The sequence below is a fragment of the Homo sapiens genome, chromosome 21, assembly GCF_000001405.40.
Source record: "Homo sapiens chromosome 21, GRCh38.p14 Primary Assembly".
NCBI lineage: Eukaryota > Metazoa > Chordata > Mammalia > Primates > Hominidae > Homo > Homo sapiens.
The window spans coordinates 33,500,705-33,521,063 of NC_000021.9; the positions used below are offsets into that span (position 1 = coordinate 33,500,705).

Here is a 20,359-nt window from a genome sequence, read left to right on the forward strand (position 1 = left end):
TTTTTTTTTGAGACAGAGTCTCACTCTGTCACCAGGCTGGAGTGCAGTGGCACGATCTTGGCTCACTGCCACCTCCGCCTCCTAGGTTCAAGCAATTCTCCTGCCTCAGCCTCCTGAGTAGTTGGGACTACAGGCGCGCACCACCACGCCCAGCTTATTTTTTATTTTTATTTTTTCTTCTTTTTTCTTTTTTGAGACGGAGTCTCGCTCTGTCACCCAGGCTGGAGTGCAGTGATGCGATCTTGGCTCACTGCAAACTCTGCCTCCCGGGTTCACGCCATTCTCCTGCCTCAGCCTCCCGAGTAGCTGGGACTACAGGCGCCCGCCACCACGCCTGGCTAATTTTTTGTACTTTTTTAGTAGAGACGGGGTTTCACCATGTTGCCATGAAACATTTAATAAGGAAATCTCGATCTCCTGACCACGTGATCCGCCCGCCTCGGCCTCCCAAAGTGCTGGGATTACAGGCGTGAGCCACCAGCACCCAACCGCTTATTTTTATTTTTAGTAGAAATGGGGTCTCACCATGTTGGCCAGGATGGTCTCGATCTCATGACCTGGTTATCTGCCTGCCTCAGCCTCCCAAAGTGCTAGGATTACAGGCATGAGCCACCGAGACCAGCCAGTCTTTTTTTTTGGTGTTGTTGTTGTTGTTGAGAAAACGTCTTACTCAGGCTGGAGTACAGTTGTGCGATCACAGCTCACTGAAACTTCGACCTCCTGAGCTCAAGGAATCCTCCTACCTCAGCCTCCCAAGTAGCTGGGACTACAGGTGTGTGCCACCATGCCTAATTTTTGTTTTATTTGTAGTGATGGGGGTCTCACTATGTTGTCCAGGCTGGTCTTGAACTCCTGGGCTCAACTGATCCTCCTACCTGGGCCCCCCGTGCTGGAATTACAGGTGTGAGCCACCATGCCTGGCCGCATGTGGTCATTTATGACTGAATTCTTTTTTTTTTTTTTTTTTGAGACGGAGTCTCGCTCTATTGGCAGGCTGGAGTGCAGGGGCGTTAGCTCACTGCAACCTCCGCCTCCCGGATTCAAGCAATTCTCCTGCCTCAACCTCCCTAGTAGCTAGGACTACAGGTGCACACCACCACGCCCAGCTAATTTCTGTATTTTTATTAGAGACAGGGTTCCACCATGTTGGCCAGGATGGTCTTGATCTCTTGACCTCGTGATCCGCCTGCCTCGGCCTCCCAAAGTGCTGGGATTACAGAGCTGAGCCACTGCACCTGGCCCTGAATTCTTTCACTTAGCATAATACTTCAAGGTTCACCCACACTGTAGCATGTGTTAGTATTTCATTCCTTTTTATAATTGAATAGTATTCAATGTATGGATATATTTATCCATATATTTATCAGTTCATTTGCTGATGAACATTTGCATTGTCTCCACTTATGAATCAGTTTTTAACTGTTAATTAACATTTGGCTCCAGATAAAGGAAAATGATCTAACACTGTGGTAAATGTAAAATTTACATGGCTTGTGAAAGAATGGCTGTCAGAGATGGTCTCTTTTAAACAGTGGAGGAGGCAAATGTATGCATTAGAATTGCTGAAAAACACTTTGGGAGGTAAAGACAATTTTGGTTTTAAAAAGGCCAAAGGAGGGCCGGGTGCGGTGGCTCACGCCTGTAATCCCAGCACTATGAGGGCCAAAGCAGGCAGATCAAATGAAGTCAGGAGTTGGAAACCAGCCTGGCCAGCATGGTGAAACCCCGTCTCTACCACAAATACAAAATGAGCCGGGTGTCGTAGTGCATGCCTGTAATCCTAGCTACTCAGGAGGCTGAGGCAGGAGAATCACTTGAACCCGGGAGGCAGAGGTTGCAGTGAGCTGAGATCTTGCCACTGCACCCCAGCCTGGGTGACTGAGTGAGACTGTCTCATCAAAACAACTATATGAATGATATTTGCCTACTTTAATTGACAAGGGAATAGAGAGACACAGTGGATGAGAAATGTGCCTAAAGTTTTATGCTTGAATCTAAAAGCCACCAACTCTCCCCCTAATCCTCTAGTGACTTGCAGAGAAGTATGGATCTTTATAAACCACAGGATAATTAAACTTTACTGAAGCTAAAATCTGGGGATTACAGAAACTGTCAATAATTAGAGGAACGTTTAATGATACTTCAAAGCATAAAGGATACTATCCTTCAGAAATGGGAGCTATCCAGAAATCTTAACACACCAGATTATGATCACGATGGTCGGAAAAGTCTCAAATCAGCTATACAATATAAGGAAGAGATACTGCCTTGTTAGACTTGGGGAAGAGATAGTCACTTGACACTGATCAGAAGGAGGCTGGGCAACTTTTACACACCGGAATCTATAACCAAGATTATAAACGGAACCCAGGTGATACACTTGGGTTTGTCCTCATGTTTCTTTTCCTCATTTTAACTCAGATACATCCAGCAGTCATGGCTTCAAAAGCATATGATCAAAGATCAGAAAACCCATAACTTATTTATTTATTTATTTATTTATTTATTTATTTATTGAGATGGAGTCTCGCTCTGTCGCCCGGGCTGGAGTGCGGTGGCATGATCTCAGCTCACTGCAAGCTCTGCCTCCCGGGTTCACGCCATTCTCCTGCCTCAGCCTCCCAAGTAGCTGGGACCACAGGCGCCCGCCACCACACCCAGGATAATTTTTTTTTTTTTTTTTTTTTGTATTTTTAGTAGAGACGGGGTTTCACCGTGTTAGCCAGGATGGTCTCGATCTCCTGACCTCGTGATCTGCCCGCCTCAGCCTCCCAAAGTACTGGGATTACAGGTGTGAGCCACCGCACCCAGCCCATTATTATTTTTTGAGACAAGTCTCGCTCTGTTGCCCAGGCTGGAGTGCAGTGGCATGATCTTGGCTCACTGCAACCTCCACTTCCTGGGTTCAAGCGATTCTCCTGCCTCAGCCACCCGAGTAGCTGGGATTACAGGTGCGTACCACCACACCCAGCTAACTATTTTTTGTATTTTTAGTAGAGATGGGATTTCACTGTGTTAGCCAGGATAGTCTCGATCTCCTGACCTCATGATCCGCCTGCCTCGGCCTCCCAAAGTGCTGGGATTACAGGCGTGAGCCACTGTGCCCAGCTGAAAACATAAAACTTATAAACATGGAGGTGATTCATCATGTTGTCAGGCAATACCAAAAAAAAAAAGAGGGGGTGACGGTTAGAAAAAGAGCATAAAAAAGACCAAGAAAACTGTATGTCTCAGATATGCTGCACTAACTAGTCTTGTTTTTAGTGAGTCTCTATTTATTAAAAAAATAGATGAAGTAAGGGTGAGGTCTTTTTTGTCTTTTAGCAGTTTTTCTTTTGGGCCAAGTCCATGATAAAAAACCACCATGCAAACAGCAAATAATTCTTTCTAAACTGGCCCCATTTCTGAATTAAAAGGCTTCATTCCTCTTTAACCCAACAGATCTTGCCATTTTCTCCAAGCTGTACAGTTCCACTGGCCACCAGCTGAAGGGCTGCAGGAAATATTTTATGTTCTGCTAATTTTACTCTTTCAGAAAGAGTTGCGACAGTATCACCCCTCTTCACGGGAACAGCTTCTTGCAAAATAATCTGTCCAGCATCCACATCTTCCTGGAAAAGTAAGCAAAAGTTTTGAACATTACCTTCTAGCCAGTGTCATTTACATCTGACTACTAATATTATGTTGGTAGAAAAAGACATACTCACAGCTACAAAGTGTACAGTGCACCCAGTAACTGTGACTCCGGTTTCCAGGGCTTGCTCATGGGCATTTGAACCCTTAAAAGAAGGGAGCAAGGATGGGTGGATATTGAGCATTTTTCCTAAAAATTAAAAAAAGCATAGTGGTCAGAATTTAAAAATCCTGGGTATTCTGTTAAAGGAATACGTTTTCCTATCTAGATCCGAAGTCAAACAGGAGTTGGATTTCTGGGATGGATGTTTTCTTTGCCAAACACAGAAATGAGGTAAAAGTAAGTTCTCATCCAAGAAGGCCCTGGAAGCAGCAAGTACCCGCCTTGCACAGTTAAAGGCATGCTGGGGTGCTCTGAACAGACATTCATGGTGACAGGAAGGTGGGGAGTTCAAGCTGAATACCAGCTTGTTGCTGGCACGTACTATTAAAAATAAGCAAGAGGTTCTTACATAGCATCTATGTGCTTGACTTCTAACCACAAAGTGACCTGTCCACCAGACAGATGCTAGATTAGTTCTGTGTGGCTCATGTCACCAAAGGCATTGTCTATTTTATATCACACCACAAGTGCTCTAACTACATTCACCTAAGAATACATAAACTCTTTGGAGGGAAAATGCATTTATTGACCAACTGTGTGCACACATACACAAACAGGATGCAGTCAAGGCTTTTGGGAAGAAGGCAGTAACATAGATAGTATGTGTTTTCTGGCAATAACCTCCTCCTTGCCAACTCCTGGCAATGGTCTATGCTTCCTAAGAGAGGATGGACTCTTCATTTTGGGATATACGGAATCACTCTCTTTTGCTTCCAAACAAATAAAGGAAGGTCTTCTGAATATTTATTCAAAAGATGAAATATTATCTTTGCAGTAATGTGAAACAAAACTAAGCTACATTAGAAAAAGTGATTAATTACAGCAAGCCAAAGTAAATGGATAGAGAGCAGGTTAATAAATCATCATTGGGTCATTCTTTAGTGTAAAACAAAGGAAATTAAACTGTGACCTGTGTTAAAGTATTAATAAAATATCACAGTCAAACAGGAGTTGGATTTCTGGGATGGGTGTTCACTACTGGGATTGTTTGGCAAGTTATCTGTTCTGGAGACCATTTTCAATTGATTTCCCAATGTGATGTCAAATAATTTTTGCTTACCATTCCACTTTTGGACAAAGGGGCCAGAAAGAATTCTCATGAATCCTGCAAGACAGACTATGTCTATGGAGAACTCTTCAAGGACTAGGTCAATTGCACTGTCAAATTCTACACGATTTTTATACAGTTTATGATTAATTACCTGTAATAGAAAAAGATAAGCACAACCCTTTTCAATGAATTACCAAAAATAATTAAAAACTCAACCTTTACACAGACCATACTTCACTTCCTTGTAAAGATATACCTGATAGAGAGATTATTAAGAAAGGGACAGGATGAAGAAGGCAAGCCCAGCACCCACCCAAAATGGCGAAGTCCCAAGAACAAGTGCCCATAGACCAGGGTCCTGTGAGGGCAGATTACGAGCTTAAATATGGCCCACAGCAAAGATATTTTCCCAAGTAACTTACTCTAGTGGGAATACCAGCTCTTTCCGCTTTATCTAACCCAGCTACTGCGGCTTTGTTGGAGATAACAATATCAATTTGTGCAGAGCTATTTGGTTCCCGAGTACTGTCTATAAGTGCTTGCAGGTTCGATCCTGAGAAGGGAGAAAAACAGCAGTGAGCTCATACTACTACTTCTTTTTTTTTTTTTGAGAGGGAGTCTCACTCTGTCGCCCAGGCTAGGAGTGCAGTGCCACGATCTGGGTTCACTGCAACCTCCACCTCCCGGGTTCAAGCAATTATCCTGCCTCAGCCTCCTGAGTAGCTGGGATTACAGGAGCCCACCACCACACCTGGCTAATTTTTGTATTTTTAGTAGAGATGGGGTTTCACCACGTTGGCCAGGCTCGTCTGGAACTCCTGACATCAGGTGATCCGCCCACCTCGGCCTCCCAAATTTGGGATTACAGGCATGAGCCACCGCGCCCAACCTCACACTTTTTAAAAAAAGAGATGTGCCATTTTGAATAGGGGACAGTCAAATTTTCTGAATAAATGTCTTGGAAAAGACTGGTGATATGTGAGGCTTCTAAATTCCCTTTCTCTTGGCACAGGCAACTAAAGTAAATATGGAAAAAGCTTCTGTATAGCAATGGAAACAATCAACAAAGTAAGGAGACAACCCACAGAATGGTAGAAAATATGTGCAAACTACCCATCTGACAAGGGATTAATAACCAGAATATATAAGGAGCTTAAACAATTCATTAGGGAAAAATCTAATACTCTGATTAAAAATGGGCAAAAGATCTGAATAGACATTTCTTAAAAGAAAACACACAAATTGCAAACAGGTATATAAAAAGGTGCTCAACATCATTATCATCAGAGAAATGCAAATCAAAACTATGACATATTGTCTCGCCCCGGTTAAAATGGCTTTTATCCAAAACACAGGCAATAACACGCTGGCGAAGATGTGGAGAAAAGGGAACCGTCACACACTATTGGGAAGGTAAATTAGTACAATTATTATGGAGAACAGTTTGAAGGGTCCTCAAAAATTAAAAAAAAGAGCTACCATATCATCCAGCAATCCCATTGCTAGGTATATACCCAAAAGAAAGAAAATCAGTGTATCAAAGAGATACCTGCAGTTTCATGTTTATTCTCCCTAGCCAAGATTTGGAAGCAACCTAAATGTTTATCAGCAGACAAATGGATAAAGAAAATGTGGTACATCACACAATGGAGTACTATTCAGCCATAAAAAAGATGAGATCCTGTCATTTGCAACAACATGGATGGAACGGGAGGTCATTAAGTTAAGTGAAATAAGTCAGGCACAGAAAGACAAACCTCACATGTTCTCACTTATTTGTGGGAGCTAAAAATTAAAACAGTTGAACTCATGATGATAGTGCAATGATGGTTACCAGAGGCTAGGAAGGGTAGTGGGAGAGACGGGGAGAGGGGATGCTAATGGGTACAAAAATATAGTTAGAATGAACAAAATCTAGTGTTTGATAGCATAACAGGGTGACTATAGTCAACAATAATTTATTACACATTTTAAAATAACTGGAAGAGGCTGGATGTGGTGGCTCACACCTATAATCCCAGCACTTTGGGAGGCCAAGGCAGGCGGATCATACTGAGGTCAAGAGTTCAAGACCAGCCTGACCAGCCTGGCCAACATGATGAAACCCCATCTCTACTAAAAATACAAAAAATTAGCCAGGCATAGTGGCAGGTGCCTGTAATCCCAGCTACTCAGGAGGCTGAGACAGAAGAATCACTTGAAACTGGGAGGCGGAGTTTGCAGTGAGCCGAGTCTGCGCCACTGCACTCCAGCCTGGGCGACAGAGTGAGACTCTATCTCAAAAACAAAAACAAAAACAAAACAAAAAAAAACTGAAATAAAATAACTGGATTGTTTGTAACACAAAGAATAAATGCTTGAGGTGATGAATACCCCATTTACAGGGATGTGATTATTACAGGTTGTATGGCTGTATCAAAAGATCTCATGTACCCTATAAATATATATACCTACCATGTACCCATACAAATTAAAAATTAAAAAAACTCCCTTCCTCTTGGGATAATGGATTAATAGATTGTGAAAAGCACAGATATTCCTGGATAGCCTCCAGTTCCATCCATATTGCTGCAAACGACGTGGTTTAGGATATGTAATTGCTCCTAGGATATGTAATTGCTCCCACAAATTCTGTATCTTGTGATCTAGCATTGTAGTAGAAACAGTATAACATTATGTTAAAACTGACTGATGAGAAATAAGCTGCTTAATTAAGCAAGAAAAACTGACCCTCTCAAGAACAAACCACTATGCTATGACTCTTACAATAGTTTCTTTAAAAAAAAAAAATTTTAGATTCGGGGGTACACACGCTTGTTTATTACATGGGAATGTTGTATAATGGTGGGGACTGGGCTTCTAGTGTACCTATTACCTACATAGTGAACATTATACCTGATAGAAAAATTTTCAACCCTCACCTCTTCTCCCACACTTCCCTGTTTTGTATCTATTGTTTCCATCTTTTTTTTTTTTTTTTTTTTTGAGATGGAGTCTTGCTCTGTCTCCAGGCTGGAGTACAGTGGTGCAATCTCAGCTCATTGCAACCTCTGTCTCCAGGGTTCAAGCAATTCTCCTGTCTCAGCCTCCAGAGTAGCTGGACTACAGACGTGTGCCACCATGCCCAGCTAATTTTTGTATTTTTAGTGGAGACAGGGTTTCACCATGTTGGCCAGGATGGTCTCGATCTCTTGACCTTGTGATCCGCCCGCCTCAGCCTCCCAAAGTGCTAGGATTACAGGCGTGAGCCACAGCACCCGGCCCTATTGTTTCCATCTTTATGTCCACATGTACCCACTGTTTAGCTCCCACTCATAAGTGAGAACATGCAATATCTGGTTTTCTGTTTCTGAGGCAGTTCACTCAGGATAATGGCCTCCAGTTCCATCCATATTGCTGCAAATGATGTGGTTTTATTCTTTTTTATGGCTGCATCTTACAATAGCTTCTTTGCTTTATTATCAACTTGGGCCTAAAGTACATTAAAACCTTAAGATCGACCTGTAAAGCAATTAAACTTCTGGGAATGAATCCTGAAGAAGTATCAGAGCTGGTTGTGGTGCTGCATGCCTGCAGTCCCAGCTACTCGGGGGGCTAATAAGGCGGAAGGATTGCTTGAGGCCAGAGCTGGAAGCTGCAGTGTACTATGACTGCATCTGTGAATAGCTACTGTACTCTAGCCTGGGCAACATAGCAAGACTGTCTCAAAAAGAATCACTATGATCTTGGCCATCAAATAAAAAAAAATCACATATGCATTTAAGAACATACTGAATATTTGCAAGAATGTTCATAGCAGTGTTACTTACAATAGAGGGAAAAAAATCAGGCTACATCCATCTGAGAGAATACAATACTCTTATTACTTTACCCCTCTATCCATAAAGGTTAAACATAAACTTCTTCTAATTAATAAGATAACAATAAAAATTCCTCAACTGTTTTCAGACTTTTCAACAACAAAGCTATGATACAAAATGAGCTGTAGCTTCTATCTTTTCTGGTTTCTCTTTAACCAGCTTTCTGACATCCTTTACTTTTTTCTTTGGGAGCTGTCTCAAATTCCTAAGAAAAGTGGAAAGACTAAGAATGCTGAAAAGACAAAGACAACCCTCATGATTCCCCCCAGTCCCTAGACTCTGCCGAGAGTAACCTTACAATCTCACAAGAGTGCGGGGAGGAAAGGAAGGGCAGTCAACAGCTCTACAGTGAAGGGGAAGCCACATCTCACCTGTTCCAGATATTAAGACAGCCACTCTGGCCTTTTTTTTTTCAAAAGAGAAATGATTTGTCAGGGAGCCATTCTTCAACACTGACCCATTTATTTGCATGCTTTCAATCAGATTCTTGACTTTCACACGTGGGGAACCTTCATTTCAAACATATCCATAAATAAGTAAAGAACAATTGTGAATTAACAAGAATAATGGAAAGAAAAATATTTTATGAAAACTTTAGGGTATGTTTTATCCTGAAAATAAGATAATGCAAGGACTAAAATGAACAACACATTTGTATCACTTAACACTACTCTTTCATAAAAACTTCCAAAAGGTGAACATATGTAATTACTTCAACTAAAAGCTGCAGATCACATCACTATCTTGAAGTGCACGGTGGATATATATGACTGCCTGCCAGTATTCTGCCCCTACTCCCCAAATCTTCCTAGCGAGACCACCCACAGTAGTGCCATGATCTCCTGGTCTCGGGGATAAGCATGTGACCTAGCAAAGCCATTTAAAGGCTTGATATGCGATGTTAAGAAAAAGAGGGTCTCTCTTTTTTTTCTTTTTGAGATGGAGTCTCGCTCTGTTGCCCAGGCTGGAGTGCAGTGGCGCGATCTCGGCTCACTGCAAGTTCCGCCTCCTAGGTTCACGCCATTCTCCTGCCTCAGCCTCCCGAGTAGCTGGGACTACAGGCGCCCGCCACCACGCCCGGCTAATGTTTTGTATTTATTAGTAGAGACGGGGTTTCACTGAGTTAGCCAGGATGGTCTTGATCTCCTGACCTCGTGATCCACCCGCTTCGGCCTCCCAAAGTGCTGGGATTACAGGCGTGAGCCACCACGCCCGGCTGGGTCTCTCTTTCTTATTGTAATGTGAGCTGAAGGATGTTATCTTTCCGGCATTTGGAGAACCCGCTTGAAAATGAATCCTACACAATAGAGGAAAGAAAGGCAGATACAGGTAAAGTCAACAAGGTCTGACATTTTTTTTTTCTATTTTTTATTTTTGTGAATCTTCTCTGTATCGTTCCAATTTTAGTATGTGTCCTGCCAAAGCAAGCATGTGACGTCTTTGTTAGTGAATCTGAGTGGATTTTCTGCCCCTCTGCCAAGTTCTAGCACTTCTCGCAGAGTCCTGACTGATACAGTACTTGTCAGGGTGCTTGCTCGCTATTCCTTGAATCGAGCTGAGTGACAGCAGAGCCATGAGGTCTTGTGTGTAGGGAGATTACTTTGGGAAGCGATCCTGTGGGGTGTGGCTGTGCATGCATGAATGCTTAGTTCTGAGGCAGAAATGAAGAGATACGTGGTATCGCTGGGGTGGGTGCTGTCATGTTACATCTGTGTAAAGATAGTTGCCATAGCGATGGCTGCACTAAAAGGTGGGCAGAAAGCTTGTGAGGCAAGGCTGAGGTATAGCTAAAATTATACAGCTAAAATTATATATCTAAAAATGAGTAAGGAGCAAGTACCTTCAGCTCGTGCAACCACACTGCCAATCACCCAGGCTTCTTCCTTGTGCTGCTGGATATCCCTCAGAATCTGCTCTGTCTGCTCCTTTGATACCACAAGGACAGCGCCAACCCCACAGTTAAATGTTCTGGCCATCTCTTCCTCAGAGAGGTGTCCTTCCTGCTGCAACCATGAGAAGACCCTGGGGATCCTCCAGGTCTGGGCATCTGAAAAAAATAGACACGAATTGTTTGATTTTCCTACCTTCTCACACAAAGTACAAAAGTATGCACATATTCAAAGATGTGGAAATTATAATCAGGCTCTGCTATTTTATGTAGGGTAAAACTATAAATTGGCCTCTGAGAACTTTTTATTTGGGGATCCATTTGTACCTTAGACATTAAGAACATTTTTTTGTTGACACACTTGGCCAGTACTCACAAATGAGTGAGGTTTTGTGCTACATTAACTAACTAGACCCTTAGACATTCCCTAATGGATCAGATGAGCTAGTAGCTGAATTCCAGCAAAGGCCAGTATACCATCCTTTTGTGAATGTTTGGCTGAGTCTTTGTGATGACCAAAATGCACCCAAAGTACAATGCAAAACTAGATGGCTTATCTACATATTTAGAGAAAATGCATACACTCCTCAAGAAAAGTTATGTTAATGGAAGGCGGATCAACACCCTCTCCCTCTCATTCTTTTTAAAATTTAGACTTCCTAGGTCTGCTATAAGAATACATTCTCTCGGCCGGGCGTGAGAATCCCAACACTTTGGATTACATGCCTGTAATCCCAACACTTTGAGAGGCTGAGGTGGGCGGATCACGAGGTCAGGAGATCGAGACCACCCTGGCCAAGATGGTGAAACCCATTCTCTACTAAAAATACAATAATTAGCTGGGCGTGGTGGCGCACACCTGTAGTCCCAGCTACTCGGGAGGCTGAGGCAGGAGAATCACTTAAACCTGGGAGGTGGAGGTTGCAGTGGGCCGAGATGGTACCACTGCACTCTAGCCTGGTGGACAGAGTGAGACTCCGACTCAAATTGAAAAAAAAAAAAAAAAAAAAAAGAATACATTCTCTCTTATCACAAATAATACAACAAAAATCTCTAATAAAAATTTTTAGGTAAAGGTCTATATACACACACACAACATTTCTGAATTTAAAAAGAATCTGGATAGTTCTTTGGAATCTACGATTATGGGATCTGATTTTTTAAAAAAACTATACTGAATTAAATTATTTATGATGCTCTTAAGAAAGGGAAGCCAATGTGAACTCAGCTTTTTATTAAATAATAAGGTTTACTATCAGTTCTGCCTATTTATTTGATTTATTTATTGGATAATTTTTTTTTTCTTTGAGACAGGATCTGGCTCTGTTGCCCAGGCTGGAGTGCAGTGGCATGAACACGGCTCACTGTAGCCTTGATGTCCCAGGCTCAAGTGATCTTCTCACTTCATCCTCCTGAGTAGCTGGGACTACAGGCATGCGACACCATGCCTGGCTATTTAAAAAATTTTTTTTTTGGAGAGACAGGGTCTTACCATGTTGCCCAGTCTAGTTTTGACCTCCTGGGCTTCTTCTGCCTCAGCCTCCCAAAGCGCTGGGATTATAGGCATGAGCCATCATGCTCAGCTGATAATCAGTTTTTTAATACTTTGGAGTTGATACAATTTTTTTTTTTTTGAGACAGAGTATCTCTCTGTCGTTTAGGCTGGAGTGCAATGGCGTGATCTCGACTCACTGCAACCTCCGCCTCCTGGGTTCAAGCTATTCTCATGCCTCAGCCTCCCGAGTAGCTGGGATTATAGGCATGTGCTACCACACTTGGTTATTTGTGTGTGTGTGTGTGTGTCTCTGTGTGTGTGTGTGTGTGTGTGTGTGTGTGTGTATTTTTAGTAGAGACAGGGTTTCATCATGCTGGCCAGGCTGGTCTTGAACTCCTGACCTCAGGGGATCCATCCACCTCAGCCTCCCGAAGTGCTGGAATTACAGGGGTGAGCCACCATGCCCAGCCTGAAGTTGATACAATTTTAAAAATGAGGCGGGTGCAGTGGCTCAGGCCTGTAATCTCAGCACTTTAGGAGGCCGAGGCCCGCAGATCACGAAGTCAGGAGTTCGACACCAGCCTGGCCAACATGATGAAACCCCATCTCTACTGAAAATACAAAAATTAGCTGGGCGTGGAGACGCACATCTGTAATCCCAGCTACTCGGGAGGCTGAGGCAGGAGAATCACTTGAACCCGGGAGGTGGAGGTTGCAGTGAGCTGAGATCGCACTACTGTACTCCAGCCTGGGCGACAGGGTGAGACTCTGTCTAAAAAAATAAAAATAAATAAAAATAAAAATGAATCACATGTCTATGACTCTTAGATTCAATTCCATTTATAGTAGCTGGGAAATGTCCATTCTTAATAGTTGACCTCAGATTTAGTAACTACATTGTTCACTATGCTCTCAATAGTTAAAAGTAAATAGCAACTTAAAACTAAATAGTGGTACATCTGTAAAATGGAATACTTGTTATCAAAAATGATGCTACTAAGACAAGGAGATAGTGATGACATATTTAATGGCAGGGCAAGTAGCAGATTACCAAATTATGATCTTGTTTTAGTGAAGTTTTACAAAATATTTATAGGAAAAAACACTGGCAGACTAAGAGTCTAGCTTCTATAAATGAACAAGTACTTCATGAATAATGTAAGTTGTAATTTTAATGTTGAAAAGTCCTGGCCAGGTGTGGTAGCTCATGCCAGTAATCCCAGCGCTTTGGGAGGCTGAGATGGGCAGATTGCTCTGAGCCAAGGAGTTTAAGATCAGCCTGGGCAATGTGGTGAAACCCCGTCTCTACTAAAAATACAAAAAATAGCTAAGTGTGGTGGCGTGTTACCTGTGGTCCCAGCTACTTAGGAGGCTGAGGTCGGAGAATCACTTGAACCCAGGACGTTGGGGCAATAGTGAGCTGTGATCGCACCACGGAACTCCAGTTGGGGCGACAGAGTGATACTCTGTCTCAATAAAAAACAAACAAAAAAACCCCCAGAAGTCCTTACTTAAATCTGTTGTCAAAGTATGATTCCTGGAAGAAACTTTAGAGGCTGATGCAAGGAATTGTGCAATGGCTTTTATTGGAATACAGACATTTGTGTAACTCAAACTATAACTGCTTTCAGGAATATGGCTATATCACTTTCAGTTTCTTAATGAGGTGACTACTATGTTGTTTTTAACTAGTGGTGTGCTAGAGCCAGCTTGTAGAGACTGTTAAACAGCCATTTTTAAAGCAGCTATGATGGGAGTATTTATACCACAAAAACTGGCAAATGCACAAATCAGTCCTGCCTCCTTTCCCCATTCATCAGCAGGCCACTGTTTTTTAACTATTTGAAAAGGATGATGAATGAACTACTTATTAAGGTTCTTATATATGCTCACCAGAAAGCATTTCTACCCAAGGAATGTCTTGAACCACTAGTTTCACCCTCCTATGAATCCTTCAACTCCTTAATATGCTCAGTCCATGGACCTGGAAGAGACTCCCACTCAGCCTAGCCTGGCCTGTCTGTTTTGCTTCCCTGACTAGGCTGAAATCCCATCTGACCACTCTCCCAGCTTCCCTTGCCGATTTCCTCACTTCCACACAACCTACCTCTGACTCTTCAGTTCTCTCCGAGCTTCACATACGCTCTGACTCTTGGGTTAGCTCACCATATCTACTCACCTCTATCACTCTGACTGCTTCTCCCCAATGAATGACCCCAATACCTGCTTAGTTCAGCTGGATCAACCTAACTAATCTATTTTTTTTCTGTTCTTGCTTCAAAGCTATATACATGCTTTTGCTCTGGGAGAAAAACTACATGAGCAGCTTCACCTTCACCTGTGCCTTCAGTCCTGCTCACTGTCTCACTCCTGTTTGACCTTGACTGCTTTATCCACTCCTCTCTTCAAGCTCCCACCCCAGGCCTGATCATCTCACTAATACTTCACAGAGAAGTTATTTTATGTAAACTCCCTCAGTTTCTACTCCTTCAAATCAATGTGTATTAGTTGACTATAGCTGGAAAAGTTTCTCTGACTTTATTTTACAAAAACAAGGAAGGGAGGGGCTGGGCACAGTGGCTCATGCCTGTAATCCCAGCACTTTGGGAGGCCAAGGCGGGTGGATCATGAGGTCAAGAGATTGAGACCATCCTGGCCAACACGGTGAAACCCCGTGTCTACTAAAAATACAAAAATTAGCCGGGCATGGTGGCGGGCACCTGTAGTCCCAGCTACTTGGGAGGCTGAGGCAGGAGAATCAGTTGAATCCAGGAGGCGGAGGTTGCAGTGAGCTGCGATTGCGCCACTGCACTCCAGTCTGGCGACTCCAGCCTGGCGACAGAGCAAGACTCCAACTCAAAAAAAAAAAAAAAAAAAAAAACGAAAAACAAAAAACAAAAAAGAACACAGGGAGGGAGGACTCTGTCCCTCACTTTTGCTGCATGCATAAAATTATTCCACTTCCCTTTTACCAGTATGTTTCTTCAAACAGAAATCTCTACCCACTGTCTCCACAACTCTGCCACAACAATCTAGTGGGTGGTATCTATGTCCAGCAAACTGACTTTTGACCTAACTCTAAAATACACTGGTCTTTTTCTAGTGCTTATTCTAGATCTTTGTGCTGTACCTGACACTGCGGACCAGTGTCACGTTAAAATCCTACCTTGGGGCCGGGCGCGGTGGCTCATGCCTGTAATCCCAGTACTTTGGGAGGCTGAGGCGGGCGGATCACTTGAGGTCAGGAATTCGAAACCAGCCTGGCCAACAAGGTGAAACCCTGTCTCTACTAAAAATACAAAAATTAGCCGGGCATGGTGGCGGGTGCCTGTAATCCTAGCTACTTGGGAGGCTGAGGCAGGATAATCGCTTGAACCCAGGAGGCAGAGTTTGCAGTGAGCTGAGATTGCGCCACTATACTCCAGCCTGGGCTACAGAGTGAGACTCTGTCTAAAAAAAAAAAAAAAAAAAAAAGAAAAGAAAAAAATCCCATGTTGGTTTGATGATAATACTTTTACATGGTTTACCCACTACTTTGGACTGTTCTTTTCAGTCACTCTACTTTGAGAAACAACCTTTTGGTCTCCCTCATTCTCTTGGCTATAACTATTACTACGTGCAAATAATCACCCAATTTATCTTCAGCATGACTTCAACTTCTGCTCACAGTCACCTTGGAATAAACACACTGAAGATTTAAAAACCTTCTATTCCAAACTTACTCTTCTTCCTATGTTAATGATGTTACCGCCTACTCACCTGCTTAACTAGAAACCTGAGACTTCTTTTTACTTCTAAGCATAAAATGATTCTCCAATGTGCCTCCCTTCTCTATGCCTTGGTTTAGGTCCTTTTATCTCGAATATGGATTACTTAATAGCTAACATTTCCTTTCCTGGTGTGTAGGGCTCCATCTTAATAGAGCTTGAAGTTACCAATCCCCTTGGAGGACCTACTTATCGAGTACTTCAACTTTATGTAAGCCAATTACATGACAATATTTTATGTCTTATAAATACAGATAATGAAGCAAAAAGAGATAGAAAAGGGTCGAGTTTTTCCCTCCCAAAACCCCCAATGATTAAGAATTTTCCATGTGTAATCATGTGTACATTAACTACCCATAGTTTTCTCGCACAATGCATTTTTTTCCTCAGCAATTTTCTGAACAGAAGTTCGTTTTAGTGATCTTACCTAAATCTACCCCAAGTTTCTCAGGGAGGACTCTGGGGATGTTCTCTAGTAATCCTCCACCAGTAATATGGGCAAAGGCTTTGACATGTCCTGAACGTAGGACAGGTAACAGTGAATGGCTGTAGATTCTGGTAGGCGTGAGAAGTAAGTCCCCTGCATGTTGAAGAGAGAAGACAAAAACTTAGCCTATGAATAGAAAACCAAAACATAAAAATCAACCTGGAGAATGACACCAGCTCTACAATAATGACCAAGTAGCAAACCAAGGTAATTCATTCCCTTTTAGCTCTAAGTAATCAGAGACTAAAACCACTAAATGCTTGCTCAGGCATTTCCAAGCAGGACAGTTTAAACATGAGGGAGTTTACCTAAAGTCTGGTCACCACAACCATCAGGTGCTGGAGAGGAGTACTGGAGGGAAGATTTTGCCACGATTTTCCTCACAAGGCTAAATCCATTGCTATGAAGACCAGATGAAGCTATTCCAACAACAACATCACCCTCAGTGATTCTTTCCAGGTGAGGGAGTTTCTGATCTCGCTCCATGGCACCAACGGCAAACCCAGCTAGGTCATACTCTCCAGGGGGATACATGTCAGGCATTTCTGCTGTTTCACCTCCTGGTGGGATAAGACAAGAACAAAGAAATCAGAGTATTTATAAATCTGTCTAGGAAACAGTGGCACAGGCTACTCTTAACATGAACAACTAACACATGGCTATGTCCTGCAAATATTTAAGAAAATGTACTCTACCAGCTGTCTAACAGAACTTTCCACCAAGCATGATTTCAGGAGAAATAGCACTTGTTTCCACAAAGGGTGAGATTAGGTAGCACCTCTACAAGTATATATGCAGCCGCCAAACACCACTGCTTGCACAGAATGAATGCTCAGTTGAATATAACATCATTTCTATAGCTGTTTAGTTTCAAAACTGCTTTCATATGTATTTGATCTTTATAATCAGTCCATTTTTCAGGTGATGATACAGCCTTAAAGAAGTGACTTAACTGGGACTGCCCAATTCCAAATACCCTAGCTTAAAAAGTATAGCATTTTACTTACAATTATATCATGTCAAGATATAAGGTATAGGCAGACTCCAAATAAGAAACTGTGTTCTAAACGGTGGTTGAAAGGCAATTTTTGTTTGTTTCAAACTTTATTCCCAGGCTTCTTTAGCTTAATTAGCTACAAAGAATAAATTGTGGGCTGGGCATCGTGGCTCACGCCTGTAATCCCAGCACTTTGGGAGGCCGAGGCAGGTGGATCAGGTCAGGAGTTCGAGACTATCCCGGCCAACATGGCGAAACTCTGTCTCTACTAAAAACACAAAAATTAACCAGGTGTGGTGGCTTATGCCTGTAATCCCAGCTACTTGGGAGGATGAGGCAGGAGAATTGCTTGAACCTGGGAGGTGGGGGTTGCAGCGAGCCGAGATTGTGCCACTGCACTCCAGCCTGGGTCACAGAGCAAGACTCCATCTCAAAAAGAAAAAAAAAAAAGAAGAAATTGTGTATAAGCAAAAACTGAAAAGAGCTGCAGTGTCCAACAGGAATGGGGCTTAAAATATTAGAGATCTAAATTTTATCAGATCCATAAACAATTTCAGAAAGCAGTCATAATGTAAAATAGCAGCTCCTAGTTACTTCATATTTTTTCTTCTTCAGAAGTTGACTCAATTCAGTTTGCCTCATTCTTAATAGCCTCATCAAAACTCCTTACAAGATCTAGAACTTCATCACCATCCCCTCCATTAGCAAGCAGTGCTTTTCCATCCACAGACTATTTGGGCAGAGCTTCAGTCGGTCTCCTTAAACTAGTCAGATTGTCTGCACCAAGCTGGTTTAAGATGCTGGTAGCATTTCTATCAGCTGCGTTGTCTCAGCATGGCCTGTAATGGTGAAAGTGTTCACTGCCCCAGAGAAATGCTACCAGCATTTTAGGTTGTTAAAGTGGATCTCTGGTCTTCATTTGTAAACATACTCACCCCTTCAATACCAGAGATATTGTTTACCCTTAACTTCTTAAGGAGAACTGAAGTTTTTATCATCTGCTGTAGCTGAACCACCTTCTTTCTGTTTCTTTTCCATCATTACGCAATTGTGCCTGCAATTTGGTTGTTTCTTTCATCTTGTCAGCGTGGAAAAGGGTCATGTGGAGGACTAGGGTTGGTGCTCAAGGGGTCCTGGGTAGACCAGCTGAGATTAGATGCACACATGTGCAGATGCAAGATGGCACAATTTCTGGTTTAAATGGTCATATAAAAGAGGCAGTTTCTGGCCGGGCACGGTGGCTCATGCCTGTAATCCCAGCACTTTGGGAGGCCGAGGCAGGCAGATCACGAGATCAGGAGATTGAGACCATCCTGGCTAACACGGTGAAACCCCATCTCTACTGAAAAATAGAAAAAATTAGCCGGGTGTGGTGGCGGGCACCTGTAGTCCCAGCTACTCGGGAGGCTGAGGCAGGAGAATGGTGTGAACCCAGGAGGCAGAGCTTGCAGTGAGCCAAGATTGCGCCACTGCACTCCAGACTGCGTGACAGAGCAAGACTCTGTTTAAAAAAAAAAAAAAAAAAAGAGGCAGTGTCTTTGGGAGGCTGTGATGGGAAGATAGCTTGAGCCCAGCAATTCAAGACCAGCCTGGGCAACATGGCAAAACCCTATCTCTACAAAAAGTACAAAAATTAGCTGGGTTGGTGACACATGCCTGTAGTTCCCAACTACTTGGGAGGCTGAAGCAGGAGGATCCCTTGAACCCAGGAGGTCAAGGCTGCAGTGAGCTGTGATTGAACCACTGCACTCCAACCTGGGTGACAGAGAGAGATTCCCTTTTTTTTTTTTTTAAATTAAAAAAAGAGGTTATTTTGTTCCTTGATCAACCTACAGATTCATTTTGCTCAAACATTTCATGTATAAAGATACTTCTATAAAACTTGGGCGTATATTATTATTTATGTCACTCTATGGGAAAATTTGGCTTTAGTTAAGATCCGGAATGCCAGGAACCCATCTGCCTGTACCGTGGGGTCAATAAGGAGGAAATAACTCCTAGACCTGTTTGTTGAGGAGGCTACTGAGACTGATGGGGATGTTAAAAGGTGGCCAAAAATTGGGAAGAAAGATAAGGCCTGCCTGACAGTTTGGGAGTACGGGTCTAGAGGACAAACCCCTGAGGAGGGCTTTGAAGGTAGCAGGCTCTAAATTTAATTCAGGTAGTTTTACCTATATTTCATTTGTGCATATCACATATATGCATCTTGTGATATACAGTCTCTCTTGCTAGCTACATTGGCACTGATCACATTTTTACATAGGGCTAAAACACAAAAAGAAGAATGACATGTTATTGATTAAAATGGCTGATCATACCAAGGAGAGCACATCCAGCTTTTCCACAAGCTTTAGCAATTCCAGCAACAACAGCTTCAGTTACACTGAGGTCAAGTTTTCCACAGGAAAAGTAATCAAGGAAGAAGAGGGGCTCTGCTCCTTGTGCCAGAATATCATTAACACACATTGCTACCAAATCTTGACCAATGGTATCATGTTTATTGCATAGCTGGGCAATCTATGTAAGAACAATATAAACATCCACATTAGGGAATAAGTTCAAAATTGTATCTTATCCATTTGATTAGCTGCTCTTAACACCTAAAAACAAAAGAACACGAAATTCTGACAAGCTACTTGGTCTAAAAGCATCCCCTTTTATCCTCTAAAGTACCCTTCCATCCAAATATAATCTAAATAATAATTTGTTATTAGAAATGTGCAGATATTTTAGCCATTTTACATGGTTATTTGGCATGGTCCTTTTTAGCTCATATATGTCAAGAGAAGAAAAATACATATTTGATATAAATTTCCTCATCTTTCCTAAAAGGCCTTTATTCACAAAGGTGTCTGATTACCTTTAGTTTAGTTCCAACGCCATCTGTTCCAGAGGCCAGAAGGGGATCTTTGAAACCAGCTGCTTTTAAATCAAAAAGACCAGCAAAACCTCCAAGATCAACTTTACAGCCTGTTGGAGAGGAAATTAATTACTTGCTACATTTTAATAGATTAAACA

General features: G+C 42.4%; 1 protein-coding gene and 1 pseudogene across 8 annotated transcripts in view; both read right to left on the bottom strand.

The window, feature by feature from the left end:
- GART (phosphoribosylglycinamide formyltransferase, phosphoribosylglycinamide synthetase, phosphoribosylaminoimidazole synthetase) overlaps nt 3,227-20,359 on the bottom strand; it is a 38,963-nt gene continuing 21,830 nt past the window's right edge. For 7 of the 8 annotated variants that reach the window (XM_047440743.1, XM_006723990.3, NM_001136006.1 and 4 more), the window contains exons 13-22: nt 20,202-20,311; nt 19,660-19,858; nt 16,653-16,904; nt 16,285-16,437; nt 10,548-10,754; nt 9,079-9,216; nt 5,270-5,400; nt 4,857-4,998; nt 3,708-3,823; nt 3,227-3,611 (exon numbers count right to left, since the gene is read on the bottom strand). In XM_047440743.1, coding sequence (XP_047296699.1) covers nt 3,420-3,611; nt 3,708-3,823; nt 4,857-4,998; nt 5,270-5,400; nt 9,079-9,216; nt 10,548-10,754; nt 16,285-16,437; nt 16,653-16,904; nt 19,660-19,858; nt 20,202-20,311 — 1,640 coding nt within the window. In that variant the 3' untranslated portion in view covers nt 3,227-3,419. The remainder of the gene's footprint in view (nt 3,612-3,707; nt 3,824-4,856; nt 4,999-5,269; nt 5,401-9,078; nt 9,217-10,547; nt 10,755-16,284; nt 16,438-16,652; nt 16,905-19,659; nt 19,859-20,201; nt 20,312-20,359) is intronic. The other variant, NM_000819.5, reaches the window with a different exon arrangement.
- On the bottom strand, nt 17,906-18,404 carry BTF3P6 (basic transcription factor 3 pseudogene 6; annotated as a pseudogene).